Here is an 18,915-nt window from a genome sequence, read left to right as displayed (position 1 = left end):
GCTCGGGCTCCTCCTCTGCTGCGATCCCTGCCGCGCTGCCTCGTCACTCGGTCAGAGCTCAAGTCCGCACCGGGCCCACGCGGCCCTGCACATTTTGGCCCCTGTTGCCTCCCCACCCGGACCTCATCTCCACTCCTTTCCCCACTTGCTCACTTGGCTCCGGCCACACCGACCTCCCTCTTGCACCTCAGATACACCCACCTCAGGGCCTTTGCACCTGCTTTTCCCTCTTGCCTGAAATGCTCTTCCTCTAGAAACCTCTGTGGCTCCCACCATCACCTCCCGGGTTTTTACTCACTGGGGGCCCCCTTGACCTCCTTATTTATAATTGCAGCCCCACACCCACCTCTAACTCTATCTCCAGCCCTCTCCCCCCAATGTAAATTTATCCCATCAGACATTTTATGTATTATATTATATTGCATTATGTTATTATATGTTAAACATATAAATATTAAATATAATTAAAGTATATTGTAATACTATTAAATTATTATAATATGTAGTATAATATATGGGGGTTTTTTTTTTGAGACGGAGTTTTGCTTTTGTTGCCCAGGCTGGAGTGCAATGGCGCGATCTCGGCTCACCACAACCTCCGCCTCCTGGGTTCAAGCGATTCTCCTGCCTCAGCCTCCCAAGTAGCTGGGATTACAGGCATGTGCCACCACGCCCAGCTAACTTTGTATTTTTAGTAGAGACAGGTTTTCTCCATGTTGGTCAGGATGGTCTCAAACTCCTGACCTCAGGTGATCTGCCCACCTTGGCTTCCCAAAGTGCTGGGAGTACAAACGTGAGCCACTGCGCCTGGCTGTAATTTTTTTTTTTTTTTTTGAGATGAAATCTTGGTCTGTCTCCCAGGCTGGAGTGCAGTGGTGCCATCTCAGCTCACTGCAACCTCCACCTCCCAGGTTCCAGCAATTCTCCTGCCTTAGCCTCCTGAGTAGCTGGGATTACAGGCACCCACCACCAGATCCGACTAATTTTTGTATTTTTAGTAGAGACATGGTTTCACCATGTTGGCCAAGCTGGTATTGAACTCCTGGCCTCAAGTGATCTGCCTGCCTCTGCCTCCCAAAGTGCTGGGATTACAGGCGTGAGCCACCATGCCAGCACCGGCTTTTTTTTTTTTTTTTTTTTTTTTTTTTTTTTTGAGACAGTCTTGCCCTGTTGCCTAGGATGGAGTGCAGTAAGGTGATTTCAGCTCAGTGCAGCCTTGACCTGCTGGGCTCAAGTGATCCTCCCACCTCAGCATTCCAAGTAGCTGGGACTACAAGTGTGTGCCACCACGTCTGACTGATTTTTAAAATTTCTTGTAATGATGTGGTCTGACTATGTTGCCCAAGCTGGTCTCAAACTCCTGGCCCAAAGTGATCCTCCCGCCTCAGCCTCCCAAAGTGCTGGGACTACAGGCATGAGCCATCACTCCCTGCCAAAGGGCAGGCATTTCTGTGTGTATATTGACCACTGTGCTAGATCAGAGTCAGGCACATAGTAGGTGTTTAACAAATAGGTGCTGAATGAATCAATGAGTTATGCTCCGTCCCCCCATTACCCCATACACCCATGCAGCCCCTCCCAACTGACACACACCCCTCCTCCCAACCTTGGCCTTGGAGCTGAAGAAGGCCTTGGTGAAGATCTGGATGGGAAGATGGGAGCTCATGAGGCGGGGGCTGTACTGGTCCGGGAGGCTGAAGGCACCCACAATGGTCTCACACCAGGGTGCCCGCTCCCAGATGGGCACGGAGCGGATCCAGGATGGATCCCCTTCCTTCAGGATTAAGCAGATGATCTCGATCATCCAGGTCGTGCCTGTTGGGAGAAATCGAGCAGATTAATTGGGTGTGGGAGGGCTGAAGAGGGAGATATCATCAGAATAATCACAACAGCACTTATTGAGCAATTTGCCACCTTTTATTATTTTTTTTTAAGACAGAGTCTTACTCTGTTGCCCACGCTGGAGTGCAATGGCGCGATCTCGGCTCACTGCAACCTCCACCTCCCAGGCTCAAGCAATTCTCCTGCCTCAGCCTCAGCCGAGTAGCTAGCATTACAAGCGCCCACCACCACGCCTGGCTAATTTTGTATTTTTAGTAGAGACGAGGTCTCCCCATGTTGGCCAGGCTGGTCTCGAACTCCTGACCTCAGGTGCTCTGCCCACCTCGGCCTCCCAAACTGCTGGGATTACAGCTGTGAGCCACCACGCCCTGCCTGACAGCATTTATTGAGCAATTTACCACCTATTTTATCACACTGATTCCTTACAGCTGGCAGAGAAGGCAAGGTTGCTTAACCTCATTTTCGGAGCCAGAAACTGAGCCTTACAGAAACCATGTCGCTCGTCCAAGGGGACAAAGCTAGGAAAGTGGTGCAGGGCAGAGACTGGTGAGCTGTCCACCCAACCCCATTTCATTTTTCTGCTGGGAATATGGCGTGATGACCTTTTCTCTTCTCCCCTGCTGCTATGTGTGGGGCCAAGAGACTGGGTCTGGCCAAGGAAGTATAGGTGGCGGCGATGTGATGTGCGGCTATTTCCAGGCCTGGCCCATAAACGCACGCCACGTGACTCTCCACTCCCTCTCTGCTTCTGGATACAGAGACTCCAGGGGAGAATCTGGGACTCCCGGGGATGGCAGAGCCATAAGATGGAAGGAACCAAATGTCTGGGAATGCATGGATATCCCCCCACCAACTTCCTTCCACCCTTCCTGCACCAACTACAGTTTATAGGAAAAAGAAACAAACTTGGCTTCAGCCGCTGAAATTCTGAGGCTGATCTATTAGTACAGCCAGAATTGCTTTACTTATTTATTTTTTTGGGGACAGAATCTTGCTCTGTCACCCAGGCTGGAGTGCAGTGGTGTGATCACAGCTCACTGCAGCCTTGAAATCCCGGGCTTAAGAGATCCTCCTGCCTCAGCCTCCCGAGTAGCTGAGACCACAGGTGCACACAACCACACCTGGCTAATTTCTTATTTTTATTTTTAGAAGACATACGGTCCCACTATGTTGCCCAGGCTGGTCTTGAACTCCTGGGCTCAAGCAATCCTCCTGCCTCAGCCTCCCAAGGTGCTGGGAGCAGAGGCATCATGCCCAGCAGGCACTCCTTTAATACATGGAGAAAGCTGGAATTGAACCCAGGTGTCTGGACATAAAAATCTCTGCTCTTTTCACTTTTCACTGCCCACTTTTGAGGGTCACCCCTTTTTTTATTATACTTTAAGTTTTAGGGTACATGTGCACAACGTGCAGGTTAGTTACATATGTATACATGTGCCATGTTGGTGTGCTGCACCCATTAACTCATCATTTAACATTAGGTATATCTCCTAATGCTATCCCTCCCCCCTACCCCCACTTTTTTTCTTTTTGAGACGGAGTTTTGCTCTTGTTGCCCAAGCTGGAGTGCAATGGCGCGATCTTGGCTCACTGCAACCTCCGCCTCCCGGTTTCAAGTGATTCTCCTGCCTCAGCCTCCCTAGTAGCTGGGGTTACAGGCATGCACCACCACGCCTGGCTAATTTTTGGTATTTTTAGTAGAGATGGGATTTCACCATGTTAGCCAGGCTGGTCTCGAACTCTTGACCTCCAGTGATCCACCTGCCTCAGCCTCCCAAAGTGCTGGGATTACAGGAGTAAGCCACTGCGCCCGGCTGAGGTTCACCTCTTTATTTCTGTGGGGAGCCACAGAATGTTACCTAGTGGAAAGGGACCTCATCAAGGACCCAATTCACAGTTTTGAATTTCAGGAGACCACAGGCTGTTCAGAAGAGAAACAATTACGTTCAAAATTACTTTCTGTTAGTATTCATTGCATTTAATTCTTTTTGAGACAGGATTCCGCTCTGTGACCTGGGCTGGTGTGCACTGTTGCAGTCACAGCTTACTTCAGCTTCAGCCTCCAACTCCCAGGCTCAAGTGATCCTCCCACCTCAGCCTCTGGAGTAGCTAGACCACATGTACCCAGCTTTTTTTTTTTTTTTTTTTTTTTTGAGAAGGAGTCTCACTCTGTTGCCCAGGCTGGAGTGCAGTGGCTCTATCTCGGCTCACTGAAACCTCTGCCTCCTGGATTCAAGCAATTCTCCTGCCTCAGCCTCCCAAGTAGCTGGGACTAGAAGTGTGCCACCACGCCTGGCTAGTTTTTGTATTTTTAGTAGAGATGGGGTTTTGCCATGTTGGCCAGGTTGGTCTCAAACTCCTGACCTCAGGTGATCCACCTGCCTTGGCCTCCCAAAGTGCTGGGATTATAGGCATGAGCCACCATGCCCAGCCTGCGCCCACCTAATTTTTAAAATTTTTGTAGAGATGGGGTCTCACTGTGTTGCCCAGGCTGGTCTGGAGCTCCTGGCCTCTAGCGATCCTCCTGCCTTGGCCTCCCAAAGTGCTGGGATTACAGGCGTAAGCCACCACATCCAATCCATTCACTGGATTTCATTCTAACAACCACCTTGTACCAGTTATCAGTTTACAGGCTGGTGGCTCCAACTTCATGCCTCTCTGCCGTTTTTGTGATATTGGAGCTGGACCCTGTAAACATTTCTCCTCTGCCAGCTAGCTCAGTGTTAAACCTTGTCAGCAGAGGGCGCTGGAGGAACACTGAATGAGGATGGGGCTCTTCCTGATTCTCACGAGCTCCTCTTAGCGGGATCTTGTGATGGACAGGGGCCAGCCCTGCACTAGACACGCAGTGACGTTTACCCCTCCCCCTAGCAAATTTCAGTGGCCTGTTGCACTTCAGTGAACTTCTCAGTCACCCAGTGGGTCATGACCATACCTCTGCAGCGAAACTCTAATCTTGTGTGGGGAGCCGGTTGGGCAGGGAAGTCCTTCTTCCCAATTTCTTTCTTTCTTGGGAGTTTGGCTTCAGCCCTAGAGGAAGTGGCTGCACCCTATTTTAGCTATTCCTGTGTGTGGTGTTTTTTGTTTGTTTGAGACGGAGTCTTGCTGTGTTTCCAGGCTGGAGTGCAGTGGCGCGATCTCAGCTCACTGCAACCTCCACCTCCCGGGTTCAAGTGATTCTCCTGCCTCAGCTTCCCGAATAGCTGTGACTACAGGCGCACGCCAGCATGCCCAGCTAATTTTTGTATTTTTAGTAGAGACAGGGTTTCACCATGTTGGTCAGGATGATCTCAATCTCTTCACCTCGTGATCTGCCTGCCTCAGCCTCCCAAAGTGCTGGGATTACAGGCGTAAGCCACTGTGCCTGGCCTTTTGTTTGTTTGTTTGAGACAGTCTGGCTCTGTCGCCCAGGCTGGAGTGCAGTGGCGCAATCTCCACTCACTGCAACCTCCGCCTCCTGGGTTCCAGCCATTCTCATGCCTCAGCTTCCCAAGCAGCTGGGACTACAGGCGCGCACCACCAGGCCCGGCTAATTTTTGTATTTTTAGTAGAGACGGGGTTTGGCCATTTTGGCCAGGCTGGTCTTGAACTCCTGACCTCAGGTGATCCGCCCGCCTCGGCCTCCCAGAGTGCTGGGATTACAGGCATGAGCCACTGCACCCGGACGAATTTCCTTCCTTTTTACAGCTGAATAATATTCCATTGTATGAATATAGCATAATTTGTTTATCCATTCATTCATGAACGGCAGATATTTGGATAGTTTCAGCTTTTGGTCATTGCAAATAATGTGGCTATGAACATTGGTGTACAAATATCTGTCAGAGTGCCCCCACCTAGTATTTAGTTCTTTTGGGCATATTCCTGGAAGTGGAACTGCTGAGTTAATATGGTAATTCTATCTTTAATTTTTTGAGGAACTGCCAAACTGTTTTCCATAGCAGCTGTACCATTCTACATGCTCACCAACAGTGCACAAGGGCCCCATTTTCTCAACATCCTTGCCACACTTGGTATTTTCTTCTGTTTTTTCTTTTATTTTTTATTTTTGAGACAGAGTTTTGCTCTTGTTGCCTAGGCTGGAGTGCAATGGAGTGATCTCGGCTCACTGCAACCTCCACCTCCAGGGTTCAAGCGATTCTCCTGCCTCAGCCTCCCAAGTAGCTGGGACTACAGGCATGCACGACCACGCCTGGCTAATTTTTTTTTTTTGTAGAGATAGGATTTTGCCATGTTGCCCAGGCTGGTCTTGAACTCCTGGGCTTAAGCTATCCACTTGCCTTGGCCTCCCAAAGTGCTGGGATTACAGGCATGAGCCACCGTGCCTGACTGCAAATAATTCTTTTTTCATTTTATTTTGAGACAGGGTCTCGCTCTGTTGCCCAGACTGGAGTGCATTGGTACGATCTTGGCTCACTACAACCTCTGCCTCCCCAGTTCAAGCAATTCTCATGCCTCAGCCTTCCGAGTAGTTGGGACCACAGGCGCGCACCACCATGCCCAGCTAATTTTTGTATTTTTAGTAGATATGGGGTCATGTAGGCCAGTCTGGTCTCCTATTGCTGGCCTCAAGTGATCCGCCTGCCTCGACCTCCCAAAGTGCTGGGATTTCAGGTGTTAACCACACCCCCGGCTCAGAGAACAAGCTTCCACAATTTCTATAGAGGGAAATGTAGCCATTACATATCAAAATTACAAATGTACAGACTCTGACCAAGCAATTCTTTGTCCAGATATTTGTCCTAGAGGTAAGTGTGTTCAATGCCAAGTACTGCATGTACAAGGCATTGTGTTTAAAGTTTACATTGTATATACATAGGCAAAAGATTGAACATTAATATCAGTCACTAGGAAACTGGTTAAGCAAGAATTATTGTATATCCTATGTTATGAAATACCACGGAACTATTTAAAAAAACCAGAAACTTATTTGTTTAAAGTTCCAAGATGGGACAATGTCAAGGTATAAGGAGAAAGAAAAACATAAGCAAAATCAAGGCTGGTCACAGTGGCTCACGCCTGTAATCCCTGCACTTTGGGAGGCCGAGGCAGGTGGATCTCCTGAGGTCAGGGGTTCGAGACCAGCCTGGCCCACATGGCAAAACCCCGTCTCTACTAATAATTCAAAAATTAGCCAGGCATGGTGGCGGGCACCTGTAATCCCAGCTACTCGGGAGGTTGAGGCAGGAGAATCGCTTGAACCCAGGAGGCGGAGGTTGCAGTAAGCCAAGATGGCACCACTACACTCCAGCCTGGGCGACAGAGCGAGACTTCATCTCTAATAATAATAATAATAATAATAATAATAATATAATAATAATAATAAAACATACTCTGAGAAGACGCTGATATGAAAATGAAAAGACAAGCCATAGATTGGGAGAAAATATTTGCAAAACAAGTATCTGATCAAGGATCTGTACTCACATCATATAAAGAACTCTCGGCCGGGCACGGTGGCTCACGCCTGTAATCCCAGCACTTTGGGAGGCCGAGGCGGGTGGATCACAAGGTCAGGAGATCGAGACCATCCTGGCTAACACGGTGAAACCCCGTCTCTACTAAAAATACAAAAAATTAGCCGGGCGTGGTGGTGGGCGCCTGTAGTCCCAGCTACTCGGGAGGCTGAGGCAGGAGAATGGCGTGAACCTGGGAGGCAGCTGAGATCGCGCCACTGCACTCCAGCCTAGGTGACAGAGCGAGACTCTGTCTCAAAAAAAAAAAAAAAACTCTCAAATCTCAATGATAAGAAAACAATCCAATTCAAAAGAGGAAAAATATTTCAACACTTTACCAAATAATACATTTGTGAGCTTCAAGTCAGTGGCAAGTAATAGAACAAACAAAAAGGAATATATGGCCAGGTGCGGTGGCTCATGCCTGTAATCCCAGCACTTTGGGAGGCCGAGTTGGGCGGATCACCTGAGATTGGGAGTTCGAGACCAGCCTGACCAACATGGAGAAACCCCCGATCTACTAAAAAAAAAAAAAAAATGCAAAAACCAGGCATGGTGGCACATGCCTGTAATCCCAGCTACTAGGGAGGCTGAGGCAGGAGAATCACTTGAACCTGGGAGGTGGAGGTTACAGTGAGCTGAGATCGCGCCATTGCACTCCAGCCTGGGAAATAAGAGTGAAACTCCATCTCAAAAAAAAAAAAAAAAAAAAAAAAGGAATATATATGATGGCTAATGAGCACATGAAAAGATGCTCAAACACCATTAGCTGTTAGGGAAATGCAAATTAATACTACAGTGAAACACCAGTAGGCACCTATCAAAATAGCTTTAGAAAAAAACTGGCCAGGCACAGTGGCTCATGCCTGTAATCCCAGCACTTTGGGAGGCTGAGGCAGGAAGATCGCTTGAGCCCAGGCATTCGAGACCAACCAGAGACCCTTATCGCTACAAAAATTAGCTGGGTGTGGTGGCTATTAGGGAGGCTGGGGTGGGAGCATCACTTGTGCCCAGGAGTTCGAGGTTGCAGTGAGCCATGATCTTCCCACTACACTTCAGCCTGGGCAACCGAGCAAGACCTTGTCTCCAATAAGTAAATCTCTGTTGATGCTAATCACTGGAGAAGATGTGGGGCAATAGAGGATCATCTATTGCTGGGAAGAATGAAAAAAGATAAAGCCACTTCGGGCTGGCACGGTGGCTCACGCCTATAATCCCAGCACTTTGGGAGGCTGAGGTGGGTAGATTGACTGAGGTGAGGAGTTTGAAACCAGCCTGGCCAACATGGTGAAACCCCGTCTCTACTAAAAATACAAAAATTAGCTGGGCGTGGTGGTGCATGTCTGTGGTCCCAGCTACTCCGGAGGCTGAGGCAGGAGAATTGTTTGAACCTGTGGAGGCAGAGGTTGCAGTGAACAGAGATCTCGCCACTGCACTCCAGCCTGGGCAACAGTGAGAACCTGTCTCCATAAAAAACAAAGAAAACATATGTCCACGTAAGAACTTGTGTGCAGGGCCCAGTGCAGAGGCTCACTCCTATAATCCTAACACTTTGGGAGGCCAAGGAGGGAGAATTGCTTGAGCTCGGGAGTTTGAAACCAGTCTGGGCAACACAGTGAGATCTCGTCTGTGAAAAAAAAAAAAAGTTTTTTTAATTAGCTGGGCGTGGTGGTGTGCACTTGTCGTCCCAGCTACTCAGGAGGCTCAGGTGGGAGGATAGCTTGAGCCCAGGAGGTCAAGGCTGCAGTGAGCTGAGACTGCACCACTGCACTCCAGCCTGAGCGAAAGATCGAGACCCTGCCTCAAAAAATAAAAATAGAAACAAGAACTTGCATGCAAGGCCGAGAGCAGTGGCTCACGCCTGTAATCCCAGCACTTCGGGAAGCTGAGGCAGGTGGATCACCTGAGGTCAGGAGTTCGAGACCAGCCTGGCCAACATGGTGAAACCCCGTCTCTACTAAAAATACAAAAATTAGCTGGGCGTGGTGGCAGGTGCCTGTAATTCCAACTACTCAGGAGGCTGAGGCAGGAGAATCGCTTGAACCTAGGAGGCAGAGGTTGCAGTGAGCCGAGACTGCGCCATTGCATTCCAGCCTGGGGGACAAGAGCGAGACTTCGTCTCAAAAAAAAAAAAAAAAAAGAAAGAAAGAAAAGAAAAGAAAAAGGCCGGGCGCGGTGGCTCGTGCCTGTAATCCCAGCACTTTGGGAGGCCAAGACGGGTGGATCATGAGGTCAGGAGATGGAGAGCATCCTGGCTAACACGGTGAAACCCCGTCTCTACTAAAAATACAAAAAATTAGCTGGGTATGGTGGTGGGCGCCTGTAGTCCCAGCTAATTGGGAGGCTGAGGCAAGAGAATGGCGTGAACTCGGGAGGCGGAGTTTGCAGTGAGCCAAGGTCACGCCACTGCACTCCAGCCTGGGCGACAGAGCGAGACTCCGTCTCAAAAAAAAAAAAAAAAAGAACTTGCATGCAATGTTCGTAGCAGCTTCATTCATAATAAGCCCCAGAGTGGAAATAATCCAAATGCTTATCAACTGATGAATAAATAAAATATAGTTTATACATAACATAAAATATTATTGGACCATAAAAATGAATGAGACTCTGACACATGCTACAATGTGGTTGAACCTTGACAACGTGATGCTCAGGAAGAAACCAGACACAAGAGGCCACATAGTGTAGATTCCATTTCCATGAAATGCCCAAAATAGAAAAATCCATAGAAACAGAACGGAGATTGGTGGTTACCAGGGCCCAGGGGGGAGGGGATATGAGGATTGGGAGGTGATGGCTTATAGGTCCAGAGTTTCTTGTTGGATGATGATAATGTTCTTTATTTTTATTTTTATTTGTTTTTGGTTTTTGAGACAGGGTCTTGCCCTATCGCCAAGGCTGGAGTTCAGTGGTGCACTCTTGGCTCACTGCAACCTCTACCCCCCGGTTCCAAGCAATTCTCCTGCCTCAGCCTGCCGAATACTGGGATTACAGGCACGCACCACCACGCCTGGATAGTTTTTGCATTTTTAGTAGACACGGGGTTTCACCATGTTGGCCAGACTGGTCTCGAACTCCTGACCTCAAATGATCCACCCGCCTCAGCCTCCCAAACTGCTGGGATTGCAGGCATGAGCCACCGTGCCTGGCCCACTCAGTTTTTTGTTTTTGAGACAGTCTCTGCCACCCAAGCTGGAGTGCGGTGGGGTGAACGCGTCTCACTGCAACCTCCACCTCCCAGACTGAAGCAATCCTCGCATCTCAGCCTCCCAAGTAGCTGGAACTACAGGCATACACTATCGTGCCTGGCTAATTTTTGTATGTTTTGTAGAGATGAGGTCTCACCATGTTGGCCAGGCTGCTCTCGAACGCCTAGGCTCAAGAGATCCTCCTGCCTCGGCCTCCCAAAATGTTGGGATTATGGGTGTGAGCCACTGTGCTCGGCTGAAAATATTCTAAAATTGATTGTGGTGATGGATGACCAGCTCCACGCACATGGCAAAGTCATTGAATTGTACCTTTTTCTATTTGTTGAGACAGGGTCTCACTCTGTTGCCCAGGCTGAAGTGCAGTGGTGTGATCGCAGCTCACTGGAGCCTCGACCTCTCTAGCTAAAGTGATCCTCCTGCCTCAGCCTCCCAAGTGGCTGGGACTACAGGCGCACACCACCACGCCTGGCTAATTTTTTTTTTTTAGAGATGGGGTCTTGCTATGTTGCCCAGGCTGGGCTTGAACTCTTGGCCTCAAGTGATCCTCCTACTTCAGCCTCCCAAAGTGCTGAGATTACAGGCATGAGCCACTATGCCCCGCCTACCCTCTACTTTTCTTCACAGCATTTATTGCCACCAATCATAGTGTCATATTTTTATTTGTTGATTTATTTTCTGGGTTGCCCCAGTACAATGTGAGCTCCATAAAGGGAGACATTTCAGTCTGTCTGGAGAGTTGCAGCCTTCTTTGTACTTAGAACACTGCCTGGCACATAATATGTGTTTAATAAATACTTGTTGGAGGAGGTGGGGAAGAGAGGAGAAAAAAGGGAAGGAAGAGTTTTTGTTATTTCCCTTTGGTCATTTAAATGCTACTTATTGACCGGGCTCACACCTGTAATCGCAGCACTTTGGGAGGCCGAGGTGGGCAGATCAAGAGGTCAAGAGATCAAGACCATCCTGGCCAGTACGGTGAAACCTCATCTCTACTAAAAATACAAAAATTAGCTGGGTGTAGTGGCACACGCCTGTAATCCCAGCTACTCAGGAGGCTGAGGCAGGAGAATCGCTTGAACCCAGGAGGCAGAGATTGCAGTGAGCCGAGATCACGCCACTGCACTCCAGCCCGGGCAACAGAGCAAGACTCTGTCTCTAAAAAAAAAAAAAAAAAAAAAAAAAAAAAAGACGGCTCAGTGGCTCACACCTGTAATCCCAACACTTTGGGAGGCCAAGGCTGGTGGATCATGAGGTCAGGAGTTCAAGACCAGCCTGGCCAAGATGGTGAAACCCTGTCTCTACTAAAAATACAAAAATAAAATAAAATAAAATAAAAAGAAGTAGCCGCGCATGGTGGCGGGCACCTGTGATCCCAGCTACTCAGGAGGCTGAGGCAGAGAATTGCTTGAACCCAGGAGGCAGAGGTTACAGTGAGCTGAGATCATGCCACTATACTCCAGCCTGGGCGACAGAGAGACTCCGTCACAAAAAAAAAAAAAAAAAAAAAAAAATAGAGGGGGGTTTGCCATTTTGCCCAGGTTGGTCTCAAACTCAAACACTCAAATTGTGTGTAATTCACCACTTTAAAGTATACAATTTAGCCAGGCGCGGTGGCTCATGCCTGTAATCCCAGCACTTTGGGAGGCTGAGGCAGGAAGATCGCTTGAGCCCAGGAGTTCAAGACCAGCCTGGGCAACATGATGAAACCCTGTCCCTACAAAAAACACAAAAGTTAGCCAGGCATGGTGGTGCACACGTGTGGTTCCAGCTACTCAGGAGGCTGAGGTTGGGCGGATCATGTGAGTCCAGGAGGTCAAGGCTGAAATGAGCCGAGATTGTACCATCACACTGAAGCCTGGGCAGCAGAGCAAGACCTCCAAAAAAAAAAAAAAAAAAAAAGTATACAATTTGGTGGTGACCAGCACCTGTAGTCCCAGCACTTTGGGAGGCCAAGGTGGGAGGTTTGATGAGCTGATATTGCACCACTGCACCCCAGCCTGAGTGACAGAGCAAGACCTTGTCTCGAAAAATAAAAATAAAAATGGTCAGGTGTGGTGGTTCACGCCTGTAATCCCAGCACTTTGGGAGGCCAAGGCAGAAGGATCACTTGAGATCAGGAGTTCAAGACCAGCCTGGGCAATGTAGCGAGACCCCATCTCTACAAAAAAAAAAAAAAAAAAGAGAAGTAGAGGGTAAAGGGGAAAGGGAGGAACAGAACGAGGACGCTATTTCAGCCAGGGAGGTCAGGGAAGGTGAAGTGTTGAGAACTGACCTGGAGGGGAGAGGCTGGGCACCGGGTGGGTATCCCTGGGAGGCTACTTCTGGCAGGGGCACCGCTCTGAACAGACCCGGCCCCACTTTTCCTCCTCCCCTCCTTCTCTATGTGCCTTTCCTGTCCTCTGCCGCACCCCCTCCCCACTCTCCCCAGCCCCCGACGCCCGCAGCCCGGCAGGTACCTGACTTGGGGTAGGTGATGATAAAGATGTCGTCGTCCCGCACATCTTGGGTGTTCTCCGCCAAGCTGATGCTCTCGAGCGAGTACAGGCCGACGGGGAAGGGGACGCCCTTGTACCGGAAGTATTCACCTGGCAACTTCTGGCTGTGGAAAGGTGGGGGAGACGCCATGAGGGAGAGTAGGGAGGTGGGTGCTGGAGTTCTCAGGGTGGCGACACTCGGACCCTGGCAAGGAACTTCCTCCTCAGAGCCTCAGTCCCTCTTCTGTAAAGTGGTGACACTGTCCCTATAAACTTTATAAAGCTGGTCAGGCGCAGTGGCACACTCCTGTAATCCCAGCACTTTGGGAGACAGAGGTGGGTGGATCACCTGAGGTCAGGAGTTTGAGACCAGCCTGGCCAACATGGTGAAACCCCGCCCCTACTAAAAAGACAAAAATCAGCCAGGCGTGGTGGCGCATGCCTGTACTCCCAGTTACTCCGGAGGCTGAGGCAGGAGAATCGTTTGAACCCAGGAGGCGGAGGTTGCAGTGAGCCGAGATCACGGCACCATTGCACTCCAGTTTGGGCGACAAGAGTGAAACTCCATCTCAAAATATATATAAATATATATATATATATATTTTTAATTTTAAAAAGTTAATAAAGATCCCAGGCGCGGTGGCTCACACCTGTTGTCCCAGCACTTTGGGAGGTCAAGGCGGGTGGATCACGAGGTCAGGAGGTGGAGGTTTCAGTGAGCTGAGATCGCGCCACTGCACTCCAGCTTGGGCAACAGAGTGAGACTTCATCTCAAAAACAAAAACAAAAATTAGCCAGGTGTGGTGGTGGGCACCTGCAATCCCAGCTACTCGGGAGGCTGAGGCAGGATAATTGCTTGAATCCAAGAAGTGGAGGTTGCAATGAGCCGAGACTGTGCCATTGCACTCCAGCCCAGGGGACAGAGCGAGACTCTGTCTCAAAAAAAAAAAAAAAAAAAAAAAAAAGGTTAAAACAGAGAGTAGCTCATAGTCTGCATTCCATAACTTTGAGTTAAAATTATTATGGCTATTTCATGCAGTAGCAGGCACCACGGGGCCTTATGTGAACTCAGAGGAGGCCTGCCTAGCACAGCCTTGCGCACACAGTAGGCCTTCAATAAACTGCAGTTACTTTGTTTGTTCAGTGATGTCATCAGTTATCCCATAGGTTGAGCGTGGGCGCGGAATTAGTGATGATGTCATCGGTTACCAGGCAAATTTAGTCCAGTGGGCAGGCGCAGTGAGGTAATTAGTTTTCAGGAGGATTAGCCACTGAGCGCCTGCTGGGCCTTGGCTGGGCTTCCATAGGTCCTACTTGTCCTTTCTGTGCCTTGGGCAGCGGACTTCACTTCTTTGATCCTCAGTTTCCTCATCTGTCATGTGAGGATAAGAGCAATCTCTGCTTTGAGGTTTTAATCCTACTTGGGGATTCAACGGGATAATATATTTTAAGTGCTTGGCTCCTGATACATTTATCAGGAAACGGAAGCTCTGTTTAGCATTATTTTAGTCTTTGATCTGGCCAACAGCTCCTTGAGGGAGAAATCTCCTTCCCAGCTTACAGGAGAGGAAAACCCAGATGCCAACAAGAAAAGACCCTGTGCCCTTGGAGAGGCCCTGAAGGAATAAATGAATGAATAGGAGGGCATCTTGCCCGTTCCTCTTGGCACCTACAATCTCCAAATCGGGGGTCCCTCCCCCACTCCCCAGAGGCCAGGGTGGAGCCCACAGTGCTGGGACTTGTTGGTGTTCAACCAGTGTTTGATTGAATGAGTGTAGGAAGGAAGGAAGGAAGGAATGAAGGGGTTTACCAGGACAAAAGGAAAGTCAAAGACACTTATGGCTTTCAGCTGCTGTAGCAGTTCTCAGCCTTGGGTGCTGTGGATACTTTGAAAACTCCTCAAGGGCTGGGCGCAGTGGCTTGCACCTGTAGTCCCAGCACTTTGGGAGGCCAAGACAGGAGGATTACTTGAGGCCAGGAGTTCGAGACCAGCATGAGCAACATAGCGAGAACACTGTCTCTGTTTAAAAATAAAAAATTAGCCGACTGTGGTAGCATACACGTGTAGTCCCAGCTACTTGGGAGTCTGAGGCGGGAGGATCAATTGAGCCAGGAGTTTGAGGCTGCAGTGAGCTGAGATTGCGCCACTGCACTCCAGCCTGGGTGACAGAGTGAGACCCTGACTCTAGTAACAAACATAGAAACAAACCAATTGTCGTGCAGTGGGTGGGGTAGAATTGGGCTCCGCTGTAGCTTCCATTGCTACAGAGAGGACATGGAGCTTCAAGGAGGGAAGCGATTTGACTGTGGCCACACAAGAGCTGAACAGAGCTGGGATTTGAACCCAAGCTGTGGTGGCCTCTCAGCCCTGTAGACTCAGTCCCTCCTTCCCCATGAACGCCACAGTCCAGCCAAGACCTCCAAATGCACCGAGCAGTAGTCCTACCTCTGGGCCCCTGGAGCTGCTGTTCCCGCTCCTGGAAATGTCCCCCGACCCTGCCACTCTCTGGGCCTGAGCGCAGAGCCAGGACCCCCCTGTCCCCCACCCACATGCCTACGTGGCTGCATTCTCGCATTCCTAAAACAGGTACCCTGTGCCTGCTGTCCACCTTGTAAAACAAATCTGGCCCCGGGACGAACTTCTCTACGCCTGGGACGTAGACAAACAGGCCTGTTTGTTCCCACAAAACACGTCCAGGGCCTGGCGTGCTGATATCGCTCGATTTGAGTGGAGGAATGAAAGGGACAATTAAGCCAGCGAGAGGCCAGGGACAGGGACAGCAGACAGAGCTCCTCCGGGTGGGTGGCCACAGCAGGCAGGTGATCCCCGGGAATGACTCAGCCTCCTGGAGGGTGAATGGTTCTGCCTGCAAGCCCCCTGGACATGTAAATTTTTTTTTTTTTTTTTTTGAGATGGAGTCCTGCTCTGTCACCAGGCTGGAGTACAGTGACACGATCTCGGCTCACTGCAACCTCCGCCTTCCAAGTTCAAGCGATTCTCCTGCCTCAGACTCCTGATTAGCTGGGACTACAGGTGCCTGTCGTCACGCCCAACTGATTTTTGTATTTTTAGTAGACATAGGGTTTCACCATGTTGGCCAGGCTGGTCTCAAACTCCTGACCTCAGGTGATCTGCCTGCCTCAGCCTCCCAAAGTGCTGGAATTCCAGGCATGAGCCACCGTGCCCAGCAGACATGCAACTCTTAAAGGCCCAACTTCCCAGCCCTCCTGCCTCCCTCCTCCATGGACTACTGGGTCCTGGTTCCTTCTCTGTCCCTGCATTCCTGCCCACCTCAGGCCTTCTCCTCTCCCTGTGGGCCCTCGACTCAGCCTCCTCCAGGTCTTCTCCGCTGCCCCTCCTCTGCTCCCAGCCCTCCTGTGGCACCTCAGTGCCCTCAGGTCAAAGCCTAGGCCAGTGCCTCCTCCTCTGGCCTCCTTGCTGCAGACACCAGCTCCAGGCACGCCCATTTTCCACTCTCTGAGTGCCTTTCCCATCTCCTCCTTCCACCTCGACACAGGTCAGATATCACCCTCTTTTTTTTAATTTTTTTTGAGATGGAGTCTTGCTCTGTTGCCCAGGCTATAGTGTAGTGGTGTGATCTCAGCTCACTGCAACCTCCGCCTTCCTGGGTTCAAGCTATTCTCCTGCCTCAGCCTCCCTAGTAGCTAGCACTACAGGTGCATGCCACCATGCCTGGCTAATTTTTGTATTTTTAGTAGAGACGAGGTTTCACTGTGTTAGCCAGGATGGTCTCGGTCTCCTGACCTCATGATCCGCCCACCTCGGCCTCCCAAAGTGCTGGGATTACAGGCATGAGCCACCGCTCCCAGCACAGATGTCACCCTCTAAATGCAGACCTTCTAGACCAATAGCCTCCTTGCCCCAGGAGATGGGGCCACAGCCTCCTTAAACCTCTGAATTCCCTCTGTCCATCCCCCTCCAATCCCAGGAAAGGGCCTGGCACCAGGAGGGGAGCCACCCGTACAGAAACTCTATGCCAAGAACATGCATGATCCTAGACTTCTCCCAGAACCTCAGGAAGTGAGTAGTGAAAGGACCACTTCATGCTCCAAGAAATGGAGGCCCAGAGAGGTTAATATAGTCCCCTAAGGTCACACAGCAGCCATCATAGTTTTCATTAAACACAAGTGCAGCCGGGCATGGTGCCTCATGCCTCTTGTCCTCACCTTTTTCAAGTCTTTGTTCCAAATGTCACCCCTTATCATGAGGGCTACCCTACAGCATCCTGTTTACAGCTAGACCCCCTGCACCCTCTTCCCCTGCTCTGCCTACCATCACACCTGTCACTCACTCCTGAGCTACTCTACAGTTGACATATGACATTGATGGTTTATTGACCATCTTCTCCGCTTGCATGTAAGCTCCATGAGCCTGGGAATTTAAAAAAATCTGGTGTTTTTTTCTTTTGTTATTGTTCTGTCTTGTTTGCCAATGTACCTAAAGTACTCTCAGCAGAGCCTGGCAGCAGGGAGGTGCTTGTCAATATTTATTGAAGGACCCAGGCAGGAGGATCGCTTGAAGCCAGGAATTCAAGACCAGCCTGGGCAGGCTGGGCACTGTGGCTCAAGCCTGTAATCCCAGCACTTTGGGAGGCTGAGGTGGGCGGATCACCTGAGGTCAGGAGTTCAAGACCAGCCTGGCCAACATGGTGAAACCCCATCTCTACTAAAAATACAAAAATTAGCTGGGCACGGTGGTGGGCGCCTGTAATCTCAGCTACTCGGGAGGCTGAGGCAGGAGAATCGCTTGAACCCGGGAGGCAGAGGTTGCAGTGTCCTGAGATCACATCACTGCACTCCAGCCTGGGGACAGAGCGAAACTCCATCTCAAAATAAATAAATAAATAAATAAATAAATTAGCCAGGCATGGTGGCCTGTACCTGTAGTCACAGCTGCTCAGGAAGCTGAGGTGGGAAGATCACTTGAGCCCAGAGTTCAAGGCTACAGGGAGCTATGATCTCACCACTGCGTGCTCCAGCCTGGGTGACAAAGCAAGACCTCATCTCTAAAAATAATAATAGGCCAGGTGTGGTGGCTCATGCCTATAATCCCAGCACTTTGGGAGGCTGAGGTGGGCGGATCACCTGAGGTCAGGAGATCGAGACCATCCTGGCTAACATGGTGAAACCCCGTCTCTACTAAAAATACAAAAAATTAGCCGGGCGTGGTGGCGGGCGCCTGTAGTCCCAGCTACTCGGGAGGCTCAGGCAGGAGAATCTTGAACCTGGGAGGCAGAGGTTGCAGTGAGCCGAGATCGCGCCACTGCACTCCAGCCTGGGGAACAGAGTGAGACTCTGTCTCAGAAAAAAAAAACAAAAACAAAAACGGAAAACAAAAACCAGCAAAAACCAGAGTCACTCTCCCTTCTGGGTGTTTGTCCAAGAGAAATGGAAGCCTATATGTTCAAACCAACATCTACACTTGACCCTCATCTACACTCATGTTTATAGCCACTGTACTCATAATTGCCAAACCCTGGGAACAGCTCAAACGTCCTTGCATGGGTAAGTGGATAAACAGCAGTATTCTGTGCCATGCGATACTACTCAGCGATGAAAAAGAACTGGCCGGGCTCGGTGGCTCACGCCTGTAATCCCAGTACTTTGGGAGGCTGACGCAGGCAAATCACCTGAGGTCAGGAGTTTGAGACCAGCCTGGCCAACATGGCGAAACCCCGTCTCTAATAAAATACAAAAATTAGCTGGGTATGGTGGTGCACGCCTGTAATCCCAGCTTTTTGGGAGGCTGAGGCAGGAGAATCACTTGAACCTGGGAGGTGGAGGTTGCAGTGAGCCCAGATCGCGCCATTGCACTCCAGCCTGGGCAACAAGAGTGAAACTCCGCCTCAGAAAAAAAAAAAAAAAGAACAAACCGGCGGTTCCCACAGCCACAGGGAAGGCTCTCCCAGGCATTGC

The 18,915-nt window shown here is 49.9% G+C and overlaps 1 protein-coding gene across 2 annotated transcripts in view; it reads right to left on the bottom strand.

Annotated features, from left to right (window-relative positions):
• Window positions 1-18,915, bottom strand: part of SULT2B1 (sulfotransferase family 2B member 1) — a 47,256-nt gene that overhangs the window by 10,384 nt on the left and 17,957 nt on the right. Inside the window, exons 2-3 of one of the 2 annotated variants that reach the window (NM_177973.2) lie at window positions 12,961-13,103; window positions 1,607-1,815 (exon numbers count right to left, since the gene is read on the bottom strand). In NM_177973.2, the coding sequence (NP_814444.1) occupies window positions 1,607-1,815; window positions 12,961-13,103 (352 nt within the window). Of the gene's footprint in view, window positions 1-1,606; window positions 1,816-12,960; window positions 13,309-18,915 lie in introns of those variants that run through there. The other variant, NM_004605.2, reaches the window with a different exon arrangement.

This window comes from Homo sapiens, chromosome 19 (genome assembly GCF_000001405.40).
Source record: "Homo sapiens chromosome 19, GRCh38.p14 Primary Assembly".
NCBI classification, from domain to species: Eukaryota; Metazoa; Chordata; class Mammalia; order Primates; family Hominidae; genus Homo; species Homo sapiens.
The sequence above is the reverse complement of the archived record's forward strand: the minus strand, read 5'-3'. Positions and strand labels throughout refer to the sequence as shown.